Here is a 23,514-nt window from a genome sequence, read left to right as displayed (position 1 = left end):
GGGAGGCCGAGGCGGGCAGATCATGAGGTCAGGACATCAAGACCACCCTGGCTAACATGGTGAAACTCCGTCTCTACTAAAAATAGAAAAAAATTAGCCAGGCCTGATGGCACCCACCTGTTAGTCCCAGCTACTCAGGAGGCTGAGGCAAGAGAATCGCTTGAACCCGGGAGCTGGAGGTCGCAATGAGCCGAGATCGCACCACTGCACTCCAGCCTGGGTGACAGAGCGAGACTCTGTCTCAAAAAAAAAAAAAGAATTAAACTTTTGAAATAAAAACTAGGCCGGGCACGGTGGCTCACACCTGTAATCCCAGCACTTTGGGAGGTCGAGGCGGGTGGATCATGAGGTCAGGAGATCGAGACCATCCTGGCTAACATGGTGAAACCCCGTCTCTTTTAAAAAATACAAAAAACTTAGCCGGGCGTGGTGGCGGGCGCCTGTAGTCCCAGCTACTCCGGAGGCTGAGGCAGGAGAATGGCGTGAACCCAGGAGGCGGAGCTTACAGTGAGCCGACATCTTGCACTGCACTCCAGCCTGGGCAACAGGGCGAGACTCCGTCTTAAAAAAAAAAGTAATAAAAACTAAAACTAGGCTGGGCGCGGTGGCTCACGCCTGTAATCCCAGCACTTTGGGAGGCCGAGGCAGGTGGATTACAAGGTCAGGAGATCGAGACCATCCTGGCTAACAGGGTGAAACCCTGTCTCTACTAAAAATAGAAAAAACAAAACAAAACAAAACAAAAAAACTAAAACTAGTGTTCAGGTTGCAAAATAATTTTTATATATATCATCTAGTTTGTTTCTCACAGTGATTTCATGAGATGAATATTCTTTTCATCCCTTTGTTGCACTTCTGGAAACTGAAGCATAAGATTACATACCTTTTTTAACCAAAATAATGTAACTCGAATTCCAGTTTTATGATTTTAATTTTCATGATTTTTCCCCACATCTATGAAACTGAGTACTGTTTTATTTTTCCCATTTGTTTACCTTTCCCCCCCTGCTATAATGCATGATCACTGTAAAAATAAAACAAAACAAAAAACGAGGAGGGGGTGGAGAGAGAAGAGGACAAGGAAAACCATAAAGTTAAAAGGTTTATATTCCCTTTACTCAGGGATAATCAATATTAAGACTCTATTGCCTTTCTTTCTTTCTTCTTCTTTCTCTTTCTTTCTCCTTCCTTCCTTCCTTTCGTTCTCATCCTTCTCTTTCTTTTCTTTCTTTCTTTTTCTTTCTCTCTCTTTCTTTTCTTTTCTTTTCTTTTCTTTCTTTCTTTCTTTCTTTCTTTCTTTCTTTCTTTCTTTCTTTCTTTCTTTCTTTCTTTCTCCCTCTCTCTCTTTCTCTTTCTTTTTCTTTCTTTCTTCTCTCTCTCTCTCCTTCCTTCCTTCTTTCCTTCTTTCTTTTTTTTGTTTTCTTTCTTTTTCCTTCTTTCTAAGTTGGAGTGCACTGACACAATCTTGGCTCATTGTAACCTCTGCCTCCCGGGATCAAGCCATCCTCCTACCTCAGCCTCCCCAGTAGTTGGGACTACAGGTGCACGCCACCATGCCTGGCTAATTATTTTGTATTTTGCGTAGAGAGGAGGTTTCACCACATTGCCCAAGCTAGTCTTAAACTCTTGAGCTCAAGCAATCTGCCCGCCTCAACCTCCCATGATGCTAGGATTACAGATGTGAGCCACCACACCTGGCCTCTAGGCTTTCCTTTATGGATATGAAACGTGCTGTAGACTGAATTGTGTGCCCCCAAATTGAAGTCCCAATTCCAATGTGACTATATTTGGAGGTAGAGCCTTTAAGGATGATAAAAGAAAAAGCATCAGCCAAGTTAAATTTAAAGGCGTTTAATTGAGCAATGAATGATTCACAAGTCAGGCAGCCTTCTGAGCCACAGCAGGCTCACAGATTCCAGCACAGCCACATGGTGGAAGAAGATTTATGGACAGACAAAGGAAAGTGACATTCAGAAAATGGAAATGAGGTTCAGAAACAGCTGGATAGGTTACAGCTCAGCTTTTGCCTTATTTCAACACGGTCCCAACAGTTGGCTACATTTGATCGGCCAAAACTCAGTGATTGGCACAAGTGTAGGCTATGGTTTGTTTACACCTCCACTTATTATAGTTCACAATGTACAGGAAAACCTTTAGGCCGAACTTAAAATACATAAGGAGGCAACTTTAGGCTAAACTTGATTTAACAAGGAGGTAGTTGAAGTTAAATGAGGTCATAAGGATGGGACCCTAACCCAACAGGACTAATGTCCTTATAAGAAAAGGAAGAAACATGGGGTATGTGCCCTACACAGAGAAAAGGTCATGCGAGGACACAGCAAGAAGGCAGTCATCTGCAAACCAGGAAGTGAGGCCTCACCAAAAACCAATGTGGCTGTCACCTTGATCTTGGACTTCTAACCTCCAGAACTGTAAGAAAATAAATGTCTATTGTTTAATCCACCAGTCTCTGATATTCTCTTATGGCAGCCCAAGTAGACTAATACAGAACATATATTTTAAATAAAATTAAGATTATTCCACAGATTCCATTTTGAATCCTTCCTTTTTCACTCATTAAAATTTTTCCAAAAAGTTAAATATTCTTGGCAAGCTGATGTTTGAAATGAATGCATGATATTTCATCATAAGGATATGTCCTTGTGATACTGTAAAATATATATTTGGTCTTTGTTTTTGTTTCCTGACATGCAGCTCCTAAAATGATTAAAATCTCTGGAATGATAAGTGTCTTTTATATGCTAATAAGATGACTGGTGGCTGGGGTCCCCTAGATAGCTTCAGGATGGGGGCTTGTTACTGAGAAGACCAAGAGATGATTAGAGAGTTGGGATTTTCAGCCTTAACCCCAACCTCTGAAAAGAAGTAAGGGGCTGAAGCTTGAGATGATCACCAATGGCCAATGATGTAATCAATTGTGCCTAGTAATGAAACCTCTATAAATCCCAAAAGGACTAGGATCAGGGAGCTTTCAGATAGCAGAATATGTGTAGGTGCCTGGAGGGTGTTATTCTGGTTGTACATGGTTGGAAGCTTCATGTCCCTTCTCATATGCTTTGTCCTGTGCATCTCTTCCATCTGGCTGTTCTATCCTTCATAACAAATAGGTCAACACAAGTAAATTGTTTCCCTGGGTTCGGTGAGGACCTGTAGCAAATTAATCAAACCCAAGAAGGGGTTTGTTAGAACCTTGAATTCATAGCCAGTCCATCAGAAGCAGAGGTGACAACTACTACTACTTGCAACGGGCACCTAAAGCAGGGTACAGTCTTGTAGGACTGAGCCCTCAACTTGTGGGATCTGTTACTAACTCCAGGTAGATAGTGTAAGAATTGACTTGAATTAGAGAACACCCAGATGGTGCCTGCTGGAGAACTCGTTGGTGCGTGGAGAGACTACCCCCAACAGATACACATCTAGTGTCAGAATTGCTTGGTTGGTGTGAAAGAGAGTAGGAAACACATTTTGGTTTTTCCCTATCTCCAAATAGCCCTGGACTGTTTAACCAATCCTCTTATTGGACATTTGAGGATCATCCAATTTTCTATTACAAAAAAAATTACAATAAAACTATAATAAATATACCTTATTAGAAACCAATATTGGACTGCACTTCTAATATTTTACTTTTAATATGTTTATACAGGTAAGGAAACATTTACCATTTTGATATAATATGCCAAATTGCTTTCCAGAATTATTGTATGAAATTTCACTTTCACATGCATTATTTCAGAATCCTTGTTTCACTGCATACTTTCCACTTTTAAGTATCATTTAAAAATATTTAAATATTTTTAAATATTTAATAAAATTTAATATTTAATAATACTTAATATTTAAATATTTACTAATTTGATAGGTGACAATTTTTATCTTATTTCTGTTTTAATGTGCATTTGTTTTGTTCTTAGTAAAAGAATTTTTTATGTGTTTTATGCATTTATTGGGTGTTTGATTTCTTCTTTTATGAATTGTCAATATCCTTTTACCATCTTTGTAGTTGGTTGATTTTTAATTTTTATTGATTTTTAAGCACTCTTTACATATTGTAGACAATAACTTAGTTTCTGTCTCCTTTGTTATAAAATTTTCCTTATTTTAATGTATTTTTGTAAATATCTAACCTCATTTAATTGGGTAACAATTAAAACCACAAGTATATCCCCTTATAACCAGAAGGGACTGTATTTCTCTCTCCTCCTTTGAGTGGTTCTAATGTCCAAAAAAGGTCTTCCATGTACTGTAAAGCCTTGTTATAACTTGGTTCATTATCACACAGATTTTAGGTTAAGGTAGGTCAAGGCATGTTCCCTGAACTAAGCTTTGTTTTGTGAAAGACTGATGTTACACAGTTAACCTCTAACCTAGTCCTAATTCTGTTCTCAAACTCCAACATCATATAGAAATACTACAAGGGTTTGAAGTGTTGAGTAAGATAGGTCCAGAATTTCCAATTACTGAAAGAGGGACTCAGCCCAGCACTTTCAAAGCCTGACATGAAATAACTACCACCTTATTTGAAAAGTGCTGTTTTAATCTGTGTCATGGCAACAGTCAGAGTCTTTGGCCAAGATAAATAATTAACTTTCTAACTATTGCGGGGACTTTGTCTTTTGTTTTACTAAGGAACTATGAATCTGTGCCAAACATATTTTGTGTTTCTAAATCATCCAACTGTAATATGAGAATAATATATTTTAACTTTATTGGATAAAATGAAGAAAACTATGTAAACTGGGTCAATCTTCAAGAGGCTTGTAGTAATTTTACATAATGACCTGCCAGGCTTTGTATCACTATTTGAAATCCTGAAGATTCTGCTTGTTTTGCGTGCTTTTCACATATTTAAAAAAATTACCAGCTAGGCTTTTTTTCTGCCCTATTTATGATTGAACAGACATAATCACATTTGAAAGGAATGTTGTTTATGCAGGCCACATGACAGAGAGGAGTTAAAAAAATAAACAGGGGTGCATTACTTGCGGTTTTGCAAAGCACCTCAGTTTAGAAATTAGATTTGTGTTCAAATTTGGCAGATGGCAGGAAGCCTTAGGGGAGCTCCTCTAAACCTCCCCCTTTTTATTCATGAAAACGTGTTCATAATAATAATTTTTTTCCCATCTTAGAAGTTCATTGAGTGATAAAATTCATGTGAAAGCGCTAACAGCACTCACAACCTATAGAATCTATGAGAATAAAACTTGTCCTATGGTAAGGTTTTCTTTAGCCTGCAGGGTGCTTGAAAACAGATGGAGTCCAAGTACCCTTAGACAGTACATGTACTTCCCAAGTCACCATCCTCACTTCTTTTCGTTTTCTTATCCTCTCCTGGCTTTACTCACATGACCTCTCTGGTCTCTGCAAACACTTGAGCGTGGGACCACACTGTTGTTCAAAATGCATTGTACACACCAATGGTATATAGGTACTTGTGTGAAAAAGCAGCTTCCTGGGTCTTAACCCAGGCCTATTGAATCAGAATCTCTGAAATATGGGGCCTAGGAAGTGGTGCTTTTTGTTTTTGTTTTTTTTTTTTGAGAGATGGAGTCTCTGTCCCCCAGGCTGGGGTGCAGTGGTGCGATCTTGGCTCACTGCAACCTCCGTCTCCCAGGTTTAAGCAATTCTCCTGCTGTAGTCTAGCTACAGCTGTGCATCACCATGCCCAGCTAATTTTTGTATTTTTTTAGTAGAGATGGGGTTTCATTTTTGTATTTTTTTAGCAGAGATGGGGTTTAGTAGAGATGGGGTTTAGTAGAGATGGGGTTTTAGTAGAGATGGGGTTTCACTATTGGCCAAGCTGGTCTCGAACTCCTGACCTCAGGTGATCTGCCCGCCTTGGCCTCCCAAAGTGCTGGGATTACAGGTGTGAGCCACTGTGCCTGGCCAGTGGTGCTTTTTAAATAAGAACCCCTGGACAAATGTGAAATACTGTTATTTCTCATCTTTAAAAGAGCAAACATGATGCATGCACAGAGTCTTCAAGGAAATTAAAAAACACTGACTTTCACAACCACAGGCAGAATACTCTGGATGAAGGGTCCAGCTTGGACTCTTATCTGATTGTACACTTTTCATGAATAACATTAAACATGAATAGGAAAAGGCTTGGAAAAGTTATTCACTCATCCTTCATTTTCTCCCCTGTAAAAAAGGGGGTTGTATTTTTAAGTTTTTCTTGACCCAATGCCTATGACTAGATAAGCGTTCTCCTTTGGGGATTGTAAGAGATTGTGTGCCCAGTCCCATGATCAATATGTGACAAACCCTGTTTGAGTCTCTAGATGCATTGTTTAACATTGTTTAAAAAATATTGATTATTATTCTCCGTAATGGACATCTGCTATTTTTACCTTCCTAGCATCTATTCTTCCTTCTTGTGGCAATAAAATTCCATAGACTTTGGAGAACCATCAATCAAGGTGGGACTGTTTATTAAGGTCTTGGGGCCCATGCTTGGCCAATCAGATGTTCTCTTCTTGGACAGGGCACCTTAGATGGTGGGACTCTAGAGCAGAAAGTAGGCAGAGTTCCCATAGAGAAGGCAGCCCCATGAAGAGACCTTGCACAGCTCCTATTACAAAGGCTCAGATCCGCTATGGTTCCATCCTTCCCAAGACCAGTTCTTTAGCGTCTCCTTTTATTGTCTGGGCCACCACAGATCTTTTCAGTTAACTTTTTTTTTTTTTTCACTTGACTTAGCCAGTGACTGCTTCTGCTACTTGCAACCAAAGAAATTTAATTCATCTTCTTGCAAAAGTCTCAGCTCACTCTCTCTCAGCATTTCCACAGCAGCGTTAGTGAAGGCTCTGGTCAGGGAAGGGGCTAAAGAAAGTGCACCTGCAGGAGAATTTTGCCCTCCTAGCTGATGCCTTGATTTAGCCTGGCTTTATAATTCTTGTTTAACTCCCCTGATGCAGTCTGACAGTTTGAGGAGTACTGTTTCTCCATGATAAGAAAGCATTTGCCTTAGGGAGGAGGGAGAAGATTGAATGGAAGTGTTTTATATTCATTTGAACCACAATTATTTTGCTGACACAGGGCAAGGTATTAACAGGGTTTTGCTGTTGGGGAATTAAAAGCCTTTTGGCCTACTCCTTGTTCAGACGTTTCTCATTTTTAATATTGTGGTTTAAATGCAGTAACATGTGGTTAAGAAAAAAATGAAAATGTGTGCCCTGACCTGTATGGATATTCAAATCCCCACGGGATTGTCGTGCTTGGGGAACATCCCAATTTGAAAGGCCTCTACCTTCAGGCTTCTAGCCACCTTTCCTGCTGAATCTCCCTTGACCCTCTCAACCCATCTTTCTTTCTCAGGCCTTCTATTCCGTTCTGTAGCATCTGGTCTCATCCCTTGCTGTGCATTCCAGAGAGAGTTTAAAACACTTGGAGAGTTTTTAAAAATATCGATCCCTCAGCCAACTGTAGAGATGCTGGTTAATTGGTGTGGGATACGGTCCGAATATCAAGATTTATGAAGCTCTCCAAGTGATTCTAATGCACATGCAAGTTTGAAAATCTGTACTCTAGAAAAGGGGTTGGCAAATATGACCCATGGACCAAATCAAGTCCTCCAGTGTTTTGTGAATAAAGTTTCAATGGAGTAGAGCCATGCTCATTCTTTTACAGACTGCCTATTGGTACTTTCTTGCTACATTGGCAGAGTTGAGAAGTTATGACAGAGACCTTATTGCCCACAAAGCCCGCTTAAAATATTTAGTATCTGGCCCTTTTCCATGAAGCCTTTTTCAACTCTGCTCTGGAGCAGTGGTTGTCAACTTTGTACATGTGTCAGAATCACTTTGTAAGACTTGTTAAAATGCATTGCTGGGCCTTCCCTCCAGAGATATTCATTCAGTAGGTCTGAGATAGGGCTCAAGAATTTGCATTTCTTTTTCTTTTTTCTAAAAGACAGGGTCTCACTCTGCTACCTATGCTGGAGTGCAGCGGCACTATCACGCTCACTGAAACCTCAACTCCTGGGCTCAAGAGATCCTCCTGCCTCAGCCTCCAGAGTAGGTGGGACTACAGGTACATGCCACCATGCCTATTTTTAAAATTTGTTTTGTAGAGATGGGGTCTTGTATGTTTCCCAGGTTGCTCTCAAACTCCTGGGATCATGTTCCCAGGGGGAGGTGATACTGCTGATCTGGGAATCACATGTTGAGAACCACTGCTGTAAAGCTGAGCTGCTCAAACTGTAATTGCCTACAAATCACTGTGGTTCTGTCACAATGAAGATTCTGATTCAGTCAGTCAGAAGCAAGTCCTAAGAGTCTGCATTTCTAATGAGTTGCTAGGTCACGCCAGTGCTGCTGGTCCATGGACCAAACTTTGAGTAGCAAGGCTTTTAACACACTTCCGATTTCCCACTTTTGTGCCTTTGTTCATCCCTCTGTTCTCTGCTTAAAATGTCTAATATTTACCCATTCTCAAGCTTTAGTTTTTTCCTCTGTGAGCTGATGCCCTGAGTTCTTTTAATCTCATTAGACTCTATCCATGCCTTTTATATGGTATCTTTCAACTTTTTACCTTCTATCTATTTCACTAGTCAGAAATCACCTTGGCAAGTGTTTTAGACACTACAGGAGGACATATTAGAAACATATAAAGAAAAGGATCACAGGTAATTTGACTGGTGGTATTCTTATATATTTTCTCCTCCTTATTTTCAAGAAGGTGGCAAAACCTTAAGTTCCTTTGTCCCAAGAGAAGTTTGTTACACATTGGAAAGCTGAAGCTGCTTAGAGTCAAGAATGTGTCCTATCTCACATAAAAGCCTAAAATCATCCCAGAGAGAAATGGAGAGAAAAGGGCTCTTGGAGAACATGCAAAGGTAGGGACAGGGCTTTTCTCTCCCAGACTGGGTAGGGAGGCAGCGGTCACTGACCCATGTCCTTATCTTGGGAGCACTCAGGGTGGTGGCAGCAACTCAGAGAGGACCAGTTGTGTGGTGTCCTTGGAGAGACTGGATAATGGGCACTGAGGTTCTCAGGCTTGGAAAGTCAACCTGTCCCACAAGTGGTATACAAGCTGAGAGTTACATGACTTTGAGGGACAACAGGAGTTTGACCACTGCTGTTGTCCATGCTGACTATAGATGCTTAGAGTGATTGCATCTTTCCTCTTCATTCCAGGCACCATATAAGCTTCTCAGATTCTTAAAAAATCTTAAGGGTTTAAGATAAGGGAATTTGGGATCAAATTTGAATTGATCTAAGGAAATTACACAGGTGAGATATATTTTGCAAACCTGAGTTTATGAACTATGATCCACAGTCACACACACGTTTAGAAATGTTACATAAGGAAATAATAATCAGAAGTGTGGCAAAGATTTATCTACAAATATTCTTATCATGTAGTATTTGAAATACTTAAAAAGTAATTATGATACAACTTTAAAATGAACTACTGCTAAAAGTCATGTGCAAAAGAAATTTTAATGACAAGGAAAGTTGTTCTCAATATTTTGTTTGGGACAAATAGGTTATAAAACAGCATATACACGCTGATCTCAACTTTGTTTAAATATAATATATCTCTTCAGGCTCAAAAATGCTGGAAGGATAAAATAAAATATTAATAGTGGTTATCTCTGGGTAGTGAGATTAAGGGTGATTTTTATCCCTTATATCAGAGATAAAATATATCCCTTTTTATACCAGGAAAAAATTAAAAAAAAATAGCTTTGAGTCTTAAAATTAAAAATAATTCTCAATTGGGTTCCATGAGTACTCAAATCTTTACGGCATAATTAAGCCTAATCTCAATTCATATGACATTTTGCTTTTTTCCTCCTAAGGCCTTAGCTAACAAGCTTTAAAGTTACACCTGTGTGACTCACTCACCCTCTGAACATTTTCATCAAATACTGTACTACAGGCTCCTGCCTGCTCTCACTACTATTAGTAACTCCTGTCTCTACACTGTTATCCACATGGCTGTTATAGTTAGCTTCTTAAAGCATAGGGGACTCAGTGCTGAGAAGTTCAAGCCTGGTTCAAATCTCAGCTTTGCTATTGACTAGCTGTATGTCTTCATTAAAACTAAAACTCCCCCATCTGTAAAATGGGGGTGATTGTAATAGACTACCTAAATCAAGATTGTTAGGAGAATTACCACTTTATGAAACATTGAGTGCAGCTATGTTACTTTCACTCTCATTTTGTAAATGACTCTTTATTGTTTGTTTTTTCTTTTATAAAAAATGATGCTTAACTTCTAATCAGGGAAATGTGAATTAAAACCAAAATGAGATAACATTACATATTCAACGGATTGGTAAAGGACATGAAAAAATGAGAACACTAATAAACTGCTAATAAACTGTGATAAATGGCTCGTTGTTATAAATTGATACAACCAGGCTGGGCATGGTGGCTCACGCTTGTAATCCCAGCACTTTGGGAGGCTGAGGTGGGTGGATCACGAGGTCAGGAGTTCAAGACCAGCATGGCTAATATGGTGAAACCCCATCTCTACTAAAAACACAAAAATTAGCCAGCCGTGGTGGCACGCACCTGTAGTCCCAGCTACTCGGGGGTCTGAGGCAGGAGAATCGCTTGAACCCAGGAGGCGGAGGTTGCAGTGAGCTAAGATCGTGCCACTGCACTCCAGCCTGGGTGACCAAGCGAGACTCCAGCTCAAAAATAAATAAATAAATAAATAAATAAAATTGATACAACCTCTTTGGAAACAGCTTGGCGTTATCTAATAACATCAAAGATATGCAGCCTTATTAGCCATCACATCAATTCTACTCCTAATTATATGTTATAAACTTGTGTACATGTGAATCAGAGCACACACTGTGTATGTTTACAGTAGCAATATTTTGAAATAGCATTAAACTAGAAACAACCCAAATGTTCATTGATGGGAGAATAAGCAAAGACATGTGGCATATCCATTCAATGGAATACTCTATAGTGAATAAAAAGGAATGAGCTATAGATAGATGAATAAATATTATAAGCAAACATAAAAGAATACATCCTGTATGATACCATATATATAAAGTTCAAAAAGGAGCAAAACACAAAAGAGTACATACTATAAGATGCCATATATATAAAGTTCAAAAGTAAAAACTAAACTCCATTTTTTGAGCATACAAAAATGTAAGACCTTTTTAAAGAGGCAAGAAAACTAATTACTATAAAAGACAGAATAGTGATTTACCTTTAGAAGGGCAAAGAGAGTATTGTGTTAAATGAGGAAGACACAGGCATTTTCTGGGTTGCTGCCAATATTCTATGTCTTGACTTTGGTATTAGTTACACAAGTATTTATTTTATAATCATTTATTACACTGATATTTATGATTTATGCACATTTCTGTATGAGTGTTATATTTCACATTTTAAAACATTTAAAAAGTATTTAGGGGAATGTTGGGAATATGGCACCCTGAATGTGTCCCTGCTGTTCTCAAATCTCAATTCCTAACAGCAGTCTTCCTCTCCTGAGTCTATCTGGCAGGCAGGCAGGGCATTGAAGGGTAAGAATATGACTTTGGGCTCTGTGGATCCAGACACAGAAAGTTGATGTCAGACTTTTTCTTTTGGCTTTGGACACAGCCTGGAGTTGTAGAGAATTTTGGAGCAAAAATCAGTGTACCATAGTCTTGGAGAGAACGTAGGTTTTGGAACTCTGTGGCATTCCAAGAAGAAGAGTGGTGCCCAGAAAAATATTTCAAGGGGATTTCCTTTTCCCCTTCCCTTGAGAGCCTCAATCAGGTAATTACTACCACCTATCAGCTGGTACTGAACTCGCCGCACTGGCAGAGATATATTTGCGCCTCACCACCCTCAAGAGTGAGTACCCCATAAACTCAGCCTGAGCCTGCAGAGTAGGCAAAGGAAAACTATAATCCACGTAAGGGATCCTAGCAGCCAGAGAAAGAACACTCAGAACATCTGGAAAAGGTGGTTCTTGATTAAATAAAGCTGTTAAAAGAGGCAGGTAATTACTAAAACAATACAAAAAAAGTAATACAAATACCTAGAAGATTCTATGTTTGAAACAGAAGTTTAATTTGTAAATTGAATGACAGAATTCATTAGTATCCAAGAATATCAAATGGAATATGTATTTCAAAACCTTGCAAAAAATACAAAAAGATGGGAATCATGAAGGACAATGTAGAAGACTTGGAAGATAACTAAATGTGAGTAATAGAAGATCTAGAAGGAGAAAAATAAATAGATGGCAATATTTAAATTCTCTATGCTAAAAAAAACTTGAGTCTGGAAAGTAAAATACCTTACTTAATTCTAAGTATTATTTGAGAGGAAATGACAATGATTTACAAAGGAAAACAATCATTCTGACTATGGAATAACACCTGCAGAAGATTGATAGGGAAGGACTGAAAGTCACTCAACTACCAGGAGGTTGGAAAGATGTTTGTATATAAGAAAAAGTTCGAGGAATCAAGTTCCCATAAGCCCCTTTTGAGGAAAAGACTTTTATAAAAAAAATAATAATGAGTCAGAACAGAGATCTTAACAGGAGAAGTGGAAGAGGAGAAGAAACCATAAAACTTGCAAAATATGTAGCTAGAAAAATTGCCTGAGAGCATAATATGTGAGCTATGTAAGTATTCTTAAAAGAAAGAGCCATATTTCAAGGGAAGACCTAATGATGGATTGAAACCAAAAGTTTTTAACTGTCTTAGCAAAACCTGAGTTGTCAAAGTGGTAGAGATGGGGGAAAGAATAAGTAATAGCAGACAAACCAATGAGGCAATAAATCTTGAGGGAGGTTGGGAAGAGAAGAGTTGTATTTTATTTTCATATAATAATAGAAAAATATTAGTTTGATGAGGAATTTTAGGAAAGGGAAATTAACCACTAATGAAATGGTAAATACAGTTAATTGCCTTTCTAAATTAATTGATGTGGTGGGAGTAGAGGGATTGGAATAGTTCGCTTGATCAAATCAGCAGAAACAAAGAACAAAAGAGAGAGGCATATGGATACAGCCAGTCATTAATTAATCTTGTTTTTAGTTTTGCAATGACTGAAATACAAAGGACAGTAAGATTTGAAAAAAGGAAATAGTAATTAATAAAAATAAATACAAAATGTGTGTCATAAAATTTGCATTTTAGAGTTGAGCAAACATTTTGGCTTGGAACTTTCTTTTTTTTTTTTTTGAGACACAGTCTTGCTCTGTCGCCCAGGCTGGAGTGCAGTGGCACGATCTTAGCTCACTGCAACCTCCACTTCCCGAGTTCAAGCAATTCTCCTGCCTCAGCCTCCTGAGTAGGTGGGACTACAGGGGCCCGCCACTACGCCTGGCTAATTTTTGTATTTTTAGTAAAGACGGGTTTCACCATGTTGGCCAGGCTGGTCTTGAACTCCTGACCTCAGATGATCCACCCGCCTTGGCCTCCCAAAGTGCTGGGATTACATGGATGAGCCACCGTGCCCGGCAGAACTTTCTTTTTTATTTCTACCAGCACTAATTTTTCCAGCTATCTTATTTTATTTTTTTGAGAGTCTATATAGTTTGTAAATTGTCTCAAATATGTTTTATAACAAGATATAGTGTATGTTTTCAAAAAATCTTTTATAACAAGAAGTAGCATACATTTCCTTTAAAAAAGCCTACATACAAATATATTTTGAAGAAAAATATGACCCCCAAAAATGAAAAGAAATTTATGAGTGAATGAATGGGCAAAGAGATAGCAGGCAAAGCCAAACAATAAGAAAAAAAGAGTGATAATATTAAAATCAGATAATGAATTTGGATTAAAAAATTCTAAGAAAAATAAGATATAATTGTTTTACACCTTTTTGTATCAAAATACGTAGCAGCTGAACAGAAAGCAAAAATGCATAGATAAGTAGAGTTTAATTAAAATACAATATAGTGGTACTCTTTAATATGACTATTTCAGAACTGGACAGTTGAATTAGACCAAAAAATAAGGATATAAATAAAATAATTGAAGAATATAATTCTGTAACTTTTAAATAGGAAAATACATTGTGTACATATCTGTGGAATATTTATAAGACTTAATTCCATACTTGACCAAAGAAACCATATAGGGCATGCTCTCTAATCAAAATATAATGAAGTTAAAAATAAGTAATTTTTAAAATAGTCTCTAATAATAATTTATAAAAGACGTTAGATCAAAAAAAGAAATCAAATCTGAAATTATAAATGATTTATAGAAATAAGTGAAAATAAAAATACTTCATCAAAAATCTAAGCATCACAATAAAAATTGTGTTTATGATAAAATGTATGTTCTTAATGCCTTTATTATTAAGGAAGAAAGACCAACAAAGGGAAAAGGGGGAAAATGGAATTAAATACTTACTAAGAAACTTTTAACTTATTAAGGCATTAGAAAAAAAAAACAACGGCCGGGCGCAGTGGCTCATGCCTGTAATCTCAGCACTCTGGGAGGCTGAGGTGGGTGGATCATGAGGTCAGGACATCGAGACCATCCTGGCCAACAAATCCCGTCTCTACTAAAAATACAAAAAATTAGCTGGGCATGGTGGCAGGTGCCTGTAGTCCCAGCTACTCAGAAGGCTGAGGCAGGAGGCGGAGGTTGCAGTGAGCCGAGATTGTGCCACTCCACTCCAGCCTGGTGACGGACCAAGACTGTGTCTCAAAAAAAAAAAAAAAAAAGAAAGAAAGAAAGAAAAACAACAAGCAACGAAATCTGCCAAGAAATAGCAAATTAAAAGCTAAATTTGAGTCAATGAAGATAAAAACAAAGAATGTGTATATTCAAAGCTGGTTGTTTGAAAATACCTGAAAAACAACAAGAACAACAAGCAACAACAACAACAAAACCCAAAAAGAATTGCCAAATTATGTTAGAAAAAAGGAACAAAAATATACAAGAATTAGAAACGAGATGGAAGACACAGTCCTAGATGCAAAAGATGAACAAAACGCTGGGAGAGGCACTTGCAACTCTGACAACAAACAGAGGGAAAGGGTGATTTCCTTGTAAAACAATAGGTCTTTAGCACAATGTTTGACATGTGAGTTTAATAAATATCATCTATTATTATTATTGCTATTAGCATGTCACATTCAAATTTTTTTGCCAGTTCATCATAAGACGAAGCTCAAACCTCCCTCGCTGAGAAAAATTGCCAGAAGCTATCAAAGGATAAGTTATTCCCTCATTGTAAACAACATTTATGGAGCACACATTGTGTCTGGCGCATGTTCAGATTCAGTGAAATATAAGATATGGCCTCTGCCTGATAAGAACTTAAAATGTTTAGGAGCTGATGTGTACATGTGAGTAATTATTTCAGATTTTGGGGAACAAGAGCCAATTGACAGTTGAGATCATACCAACTACCAGAGGGCAGGGGAAGGAGAGATCTTTTGTGAGGGTTGATGACAGAATTACTTTATGGTGATGGGATTCCAGTGGAATTCTTAAGGATGGGCTGGATTGAAACAAATTTCTAAGAGGAAAAAGGAGTGCAGGCTGTAAAGCAAATAAGGGACTCAAAGTTTGTAAATTGGCCAGTGTGGCTGAAACAAAGAAATAGATCTCATAGGCAAAGTACATCTCTAAGAGGCAAAGGAAGTAAGAGTATGTTGGGGTAGATGATGAAGAGCTCTGGATTTAAATCCATGGAGTTTAGAATTTGTCCTGTATATAGCACACAGTCATTACAGAGTCCTGAGCAGGCCGGTGACACCATAAGCTGCAGTCTTGGGAAGGCTGCGTTAGCAGCAATATGCTTGGTGGACTTGGGAAGGGGGGTAGACTTGGCCAGGAGCAGCAGAGCAGCCTCAAGGCAGAGGGACTATTGCTGTTATTTTAGGCCTTGGTGAAATCTAGAAATGTCAGTATACCATTCTGCAGACGGAAAAAACAGAAAATGACTTCTGAGCCAAACAGAACAAGGAGGTGTGTAGGCAATAAAACTAAGATGCCTTCAGCAATCCTGGTACAGAATTAGCCACACTTAACCAAATGCCTACTGTCCTCCTTTTGAAGTTAGAGTGACTCTTATTTTTGGCAATACTTCTCAGTTCCTCTAGAGGTGGCAGCTTGGGAGAGAGAACCTCTTTGTCACTGATAGATACACATTCATTTATCCACCATGAATGGGACAAATTTTCTAAAGGAGTTTCCTCAAGTTTAACCTGGGGTTTGACTCTCCATAAAGCGGGTTTCTTCTGCCTCTCCCCCACACACCCCTCCTCCGTGGTCTGTATCCTCTCCAGGAACACAGAGAGTTAACCTTTGCAATTGGATTTGCTCTGTGCAACATGAAGTGTCACCCACAAACGCAGTGTAAAAGGCGCCTGTGAAACGTATGAAAAGAAGTCCAGGAATTCAGTTAATTAACCACATCAGTTTCTTAACGTGATCAATTTTAATTAAACTGAATTTTAATAGAGATCTGTGTAGTCTGTAGAGACCAATTGCTAATTCTACAAAGCATGTGCTGCTTTTCAGTTCAGATTTGCTCCCATCTAATTAATATGGATAGAGCATTAAGCCTTTTTGGACTCTGGTGGTTTTCATTTCATGACTATTAATGATTTTAATGAACTGGACTAATTCAGTAGTTTTCATCCCAGTGTTTCAGGGCTTTGTTCATCACAAATTTCAGGTTTATAATTGGTTTCCAGGTCTTAACAGTGGTCATTGATCAGCTTCAGCAGTTCCTTTTACAACTCGGTAGGCACTGGAGACTCTGTTAACCCTTTGCTGCCTGGAGCTGAGAACAGCACAGTGCTTCAGGACAGAGTCCTGGCTTAACTATCAACCTAACATAGCCACAGGGGCAGGGGAGAACTTAAAATTCATATGGTGATGTTAGCACAGGACAGAACAGAAAAGGTCACCTCAGCAATACGGAAGCTTTAAAAAAAAAAAGACAGGGGATTAGCTTTATTTTTAAGCTTTAATTTTCAATACTCCAAGTGAGATATGCATAATGAAATTATCATTCTTATTTTGGCAAATCACATTTTCTAACTACTCATTGGCCCCTGCCAATCCCTACCAGCCATCTTTATCCACAGCCAAAGAGCTAAGACTAAGGAGTAAGAAAATAGAACTATGAAAAGCTAATAAAAAACAGAAGCAGGGAGACTGGGCTGAGGAGGGAAATAGCTTGGGAAAACTAACACAGAAAAAGAAATGTACACATTAATGAATACGTACGTGTTTTTACATGACTGGGGTCGATCTTCACCATTGGAGAATTGCTTATGGTCCTTTGCTGCCCTGAAAATAAACAATGATATTTGAGCCTCCAATTTAAAATAAAACACAAAACTTTTAAATATTCTGTGTCCAAAGTGACTATTACTGGTGCTGCCTTACTCGGTTCTGAAAAGTGACAGGCAGGATGAATATACAGAAGAGCCAAGGTCACACCACCCAAATAAAGCAAGGTAGAAGAGAGCAGATTCTCTGAAACAGACACATACCTCTTTAATTATCCAAGAAACAGCGACGTAAACACTCAAATTCCAGTCCAGAAATGTAGCTCAGAATCATCAGAAGCGCTTAAAAATCTTGTTTTTGTAAGCCTACCCAGAGAATTTCCTCCTGCCCCCTCACCCACCAATGGAAGAATATACAAATCTTTGCAGAGGTACAGAACTGTAATTCTCAAATGTTCCAGGGTTTTTTTTTTTCCTGAAAATATTCTGCCAGAGATTGAGTTGATCTGGATTCCAAACCCAGTTGAAATCTCTTCAGCAGTTTAATTTGTAAAAAAGATCTTTCTTATTCAGTAAGATTCTTACAAAGATGGTGACTTTTTTTTTCATATCATCTCTGTATTTTCAAGCACAGAGGATCTGAAGAATAAATTAAATGAAGATCATTACCAAGGTAGCATTTAAAATGACCCAGGAGAAAAAAAAATATGTATAAAGCTGAGAACCTTCATTTATTTTATATTTTTCTCACTCCATTCCCCTTGACTCACTCATACTTGGTTTTTTTGATAAGAGTGGTTGACAAATTATGTCTCTGGCCAGTTGAATTTATTTCTTCTCCTATAGGTTAATATATTTAAACAAGCTGCCAGTTATAATAGAGTTGATAGTGTATCTTTAATTCCCGTTCATCTCTCAATCCTTTTCAGTCTTACTTCTGTCCCATAGAGCTGCAGATACGCTCTCCATCTATAAAATGGTGATAATAATGGCTTCCTTGTAGGACCATTGTGTAGATTAGCACACTTAGCAAGGTGGCTCAGTAAATTATGGCTATTACTACTACTCAAATCACCAATGACCTTTTGATTGACAAATGGCTTACGTCCTTATCTGCCAAGCTGTCTGAAGCATTTGACACTGTAAACCACACGTTTTAAAATCCTTCCAAGAAAGCACTCATTTACACCTTTGTTCTTTTAACAAATATATGTGGAATATCAGGCAGTGGTCTAGGCACTGGAGATACCATGTATTTCAGCAGGGCAGAAAGTTCTTGTCTTCTGGGAGTTTTTTTTTTTTTCTAAAGAGGAAAATGGACAAATATGAATCATAAAGTAATAGCTAACATTTATTAAGAACTTAAATTGTACCAGACAACATTCTTAGCTTTTTGCATATTTTAACTTATTTAACTTAAATGAGTATATTATCATGATCCCCATTTTACAGATGAGGACACCAAGGCACTGGTAGTTAACTGTCTTGGTCAGGGTCACAAAGTTTGTAAATGACGGAGTCTAGATTTAAACCAAAGCAGTCTGCTCCAAAATCCAGAAAAAGCATTGGCCACCACCTTGATCTTGGACTTCCCAGCCTTCAGAACTGTAAGAAAATAAATTTCTGTTGTGTAAGGCACCTAGTTGTTTGTGTTTGTTTTGGCAGCCCAAGCTGGCTAAGACACCAAATGAAGTCTAGAAGCCTAGAAGAATAATGCTTCTGAGATGTTTAATGAAGAAGGGCAGAGTACTTGAGAATTTGGAAAGATAAACTTTGACAAGAGGTATTGCAATGGGTTCAAAAGAGTGATGAAAAGGCTAGGTGTGGTGGCTCACATCTGTAATCCCATTGACTCAGGAGGCTGAGGCAGGAGTTTTGCTTGATGCCAGGAGTTCAAGACCAGCCTGGGCAACATCATGAGACCACCCTCATCTCTAAAAATAAAAATAAAAACTCTTAGCTAGGTGTGATGGTACATGCCTGTAGTTCCAACTACTTGGGGGGCTGAGGTGTGAGGACTGCCTGGGCGTTCAAGGCTGCAGTGAGCTATAATTATGCCACTGTAGTCCAGCCTGGGTGACAGAGTGAGATTCCAATTCACTCAAAAAAGGGGGCAGAGGTCGGGAAAATAAAAGCAAACGTAAACAGCTCTTTCAAGGAGTTTTCTTAAAAAAGGAATCAAGAACTAAGCCATGACAGCACTGAAGGACCTTTAAGATGGAAGATAATACATAACGTTTATATGCTGATGGTATAACTTAGTAGACAGAGGAAATTCCATAGGATATGATTGAAGAGGAACAACTGCAGGAACAAAGTCATTGAATAGGGGAGAGGGAAGGAGATCCAACACTCATATAGAGGGGTTGAAATGAGATTCAGGAACAGTTCACCCACTGTTTCAGAAGGGGAGGCGGGGGCTAAGGACATAGTCGGCCTCCCTGTCTGTGGGTTCCACATTTGTGGATTCAACCAACCACAGATCAAAAAAATCCAGGGGGAAGAACAATAAAAAATAACAATGCAACAACAAAAATATAAATAATGCAAATTAAAAACAGTATGGTACAACAATTGTTTACATAGAATTTACATTGTATTATATTTTAAATAATCCAGAGATGATTTAAAGTAAATAATCTAGAGATGACTTAGAGTATATGGAGGATGTGCATTGGTTCTATGCAAATGCTACTCCATTTTATGTCAGGAACTTGAGCATCCTCAGATTTTAGTATTCATGGGGGTCCTGAAACAACTGTATGCACAAGAAAGGAAGGCAGAGTTCACAGATATATTCAAATACCTGGGTAGGACAGAAGATTTGATAGTGTAAAGTAGACAGTTTTCGGTTTCCCTCGTTAAGTGAACATTACATTAGCAGAAACTACGTGTCATTCATAACTGGACACTACTGCTATTATCTACCCCTTGTACAGATGAGGAAACTGAGCCCCAGAGAAAATAAGTAACTGGCTCAGAGAATTCACTCAGGTAGTGAGTAGCAAAACTGGCATTTGAACTAAACCTGCCTCTTTTGATTGTTTTTTTGTTTTGGTTTTTTACTTGAGTGAACTAAAAAAGAGCCACCATTAGTTGAAAGTGAAAAGAAAGAAAATATTTTGGAGTTTGGAGAGTAGAGGACAAGTTGAGATAATTATTTTAGAAAACAGACAAGCAAGTTGAGTAATGAAATATGCAGAATTTCCAGGCTGTGCTGAAGATTTTCTTGAGATTATAAACATAAATTTAAAATGAAACCAGTCTATATGCATTTGTGTTGTATTGCTTTGTTTTGTCTATAGTTCTATTTAACTGATGAAATATAGCAATAAATATTAAATAGGTTTTGGGATTTGCCAGTAGAACATGATGGGAGGGGAGACAGACAAGTTATATAGAAAGTTTTATGATCATCAACGGTGGATCTAAACTGGATGAGGAGTGAGGAGGAATGAGAGACCAGAGAGGGCGATAGGTAGTAAAAGTGGGTAGACTGAAGTGGGTTTGGTAGAGTAGGTAATTTGGAACATGAAAGTGAATATTTATTCATTAAGATTTTGAAGTTTAGAGTGTGAGGTATTTGGCATTAAGATTTTTGGAAAGTCCTAGGGTCAGACCATGGAAGGTGGGGGAGGGAGGTATAGACTTAAAGTGTGTAGGAAACAATGAGGTCAGGGTAATGACGGGCAGGGTGTGGGCATCGAAATTCTCAGGAATAATGGCAGGAGAACAGTGGAGGGAAAGACAGTGAGCCAGTGCTAAAATTTCAGAGGTTGAGAGAAGTGACCAGGGGACAGGAGATTGCAAAACAGGAGAGAACAAATGGTCATTTAATGTCACCTGCTTCAAAGGAGCCAGGGGTTTTGAGGGTGAAGGAAGGGACTAGGGTCTAGAAATAGCAGTAAGGAACAAGAACACTAATCCTCAATTCCAGACCCCAGTGCAAACTCTTTCCATACTTTCTGATGAGTTTGTTTGCTTCGCTTTTGGTATTTTACTCTATATTTCTAAGTAATATGCATACGTTGCCACTTCTTAACTTCACAGTTTTAGGCATTACTTATTGACTTTGAACTTTGGAAAATGAAGATTCTCTTTGACACACGTGTGTGTATATATACACCACACACAAGCACACACACATACTCTCTCTCTAAACCCATTCTGGTTATATGTACGAGTTCTGTTGTTTTCTTTCTGAAAACTTGTAAAAAATTATTTTGGTCTCTAGTGTTTGAAATGTATTATTCTGGGCACATGGTGGACTCCTTCAATCTGGGAACCCATGCTCTTTGGATTGGGGAAAATGTCTTGATTTATTTCTTTGAGGCTAGGTGTTCCTCCATTCTCTCTTCTTACTCTCCTGTTAGTCAGATGTTGCTTGGTCATCCAATGTTCTTATTTCTTCTTTCTTTATTTGCATTTCTTAGTCCTTTTGGTGTAGGGGTTTCAACAGTCCTAGAGCAATTTTTGAGTTAATCCCTCAGTTTGAGATTTCCTTGACTCAAATTTAGATTTTAAAAAGGTATTTTCAAGTAAAGATAGTGATTTCACTTCTTAAAGATTACTGTGCACCCCCTCCATCCCCACCCCATCTACATTTCGGGATAGTCAGCAGGCTTCCTTGTGGTTTCCCAGAATAAGAGGTCAGAGTTTTTCGAGTCCCCTTTTTATAGGCTGGGCAGATCTTTGAGGTCCTTGGGCCCATAGGTGTGGTTCTATCTCTCACGTGACTTTACAATACTCCCAGACCACAGGTCCAATATCTGGTCTGATATCCACATGGTGCCAGCAGTCCCTTCTCATCATTCTGGCTCTGATTTCTTGCTTCAGTTCTGGCATCTGGACATTTGTTTTAAATTCAGCTATGTGGCAAAAAGAGTAGTTTGTTATAATATTTTATTCAAGATTCCATGAGTTTGTGGTGTGAGAAAACAGGCAAAAGTCTGCTATATCTATTACCCTTGTCTTAGGATTCTGCAAACATCACCTTTCCTTTTTTTTTTTTTTTCTTTTTTCTTTTTTTTAGGGGACGGAGTCTCACTCTGTTGCCCAGGCTGGAGTACAGTGGCATGATCTCGGCTCACTGCAACCTCCAGCTCCTGGGTTCAAGTGATTCTTGTGCCTCAGTCTCCCAGTAGCTGGAATTACAGGAGCCCACCACCACGCCTGGCTAATTTTTGTATTTTTAGTAGAGACGGAATTTCACCATGTTGGCCAGGCTGGTCTTGAACTCCTGACCTCAAGAGATCTGCCCGCCTTGGCCTTTCAAAGTGCTGGGATTACAGGCGTGAGCCACCACGCTTTGCCTCACCTTTCCTTTTATATGTCCTGCTTGGGTACTGTACCGGGCTTCTACCTGTTCTCCCTGCTGCAAGTTACTACTTCCTTGTTTCCATTTTCAGTTACTGATATAAAAAACTAACAAACGATCTGATTTTTGTCACTCCAGTCCTTAAAAGCCTCCTTTGGCTTACTATAACTTTCAAGATCAAGGTCATTAGCCAGGTCACAAAGTTACTCAAAACTTAATCCCAATTATTAGGGACTGAATTGTGTCCCCTTCAAATATGTATGTTGGAAGTTCTAAGCCCAGGAATCTCAGCATGTGACTGTTGAGATAGGGTTGACTGAAGTCATATGGGTGGGCCCTTATCTGATATGACTCGTGTCCATATAAGAAGGCAAAGACGCCAGGGACGTGCATATACCAAGAAAGGGCCATGCGAGGACATGGAGAGAAGACAGAAATATGCAAGCCCAGGAGTGAGGCTTGTGGAGAAATAAGCCCGCTAACAGCTTGATCTTGGACTTGTAGACTCCAGAACTGTGAGAAATAAACCTCTGCCGTTTAATCCACCCAGTCTGTGATATATTGTTCTTGCTAACTGTATAGCCCATTACTTCCCTTCCCAATACCCCAAATATGACCAATGATTCACCATCCCTCAATTGTACAAGTTGTTTTTCACAATTGGAAACCTCAGGGAATACTACCATGGCAGATATGTTAGGCTAAATAGGTACCCTCCAAGATATCCAGGTCCTAATTATCGGAACCTGTGAGTGTTAACCTAGATGGCAAAAGGGACTTTGCAGTTGTGAATAAGTTAAGGGTTTTTTCTTTTTCTTTTCTTTTTTTTTTTTTTGAGACAGAGTTTTGCTCTTGTTGCCCAGTCTGGAGTGCAATGGCACAATCTTGGCTCACCACAACCTCTGCCTCCTGCCTCCCGGGTTTAAGTGATTCTCCTGCCTCAGCCTCCCAAGTAGCTGGGATTACAAGTATGCACTACCATGCCT

General features: G+C 38.7%; 1 long non-coding RNA gene across 4 annotated transcripts in view; it reads right to left on the bottom strand.

The window, feature by feature from the left end:
- Positions 1–23,514, bottom strand: part of LOC101928338 (uncharacterized) — a 74,787-nt gene that overhangs the window by 13,679 nt on the left and 37,594 nt on the right. For 2 of the 4 annotated variants that reach the window (XR_007062640.1, XR_242862.5), the window contains exon 3: positions 17,207–17,269. This is a non-coding gene — a long non-coding RNA (uncharacterized LOC101928338). Of the gene's footprint in view, positions 1–17,206; positions 17,270–17,368; positions 17,922–23,514 lie in introns of those variants that run through there. The other 2 variants (XR_001748480.2, XR_001748484.2) reach the window with 2 other exon arrangements.

This window comes from Homo sapiens, chromosome 11 (genome assembly GCF_000001405.40).
Source record: "Homo sapiens chromosome 11, GRCh38.p14 Primary Assembly".
In the NCBI taxonomy this organism is placed as follows: Eukaryota; Metazoa; Chordata; class Mammalia; order Primates; family Hominidae; genus Homo; species Homo sapiens.
This window is presented reverse-complemented; position numbering and strand designations above follow the sequence as displayed.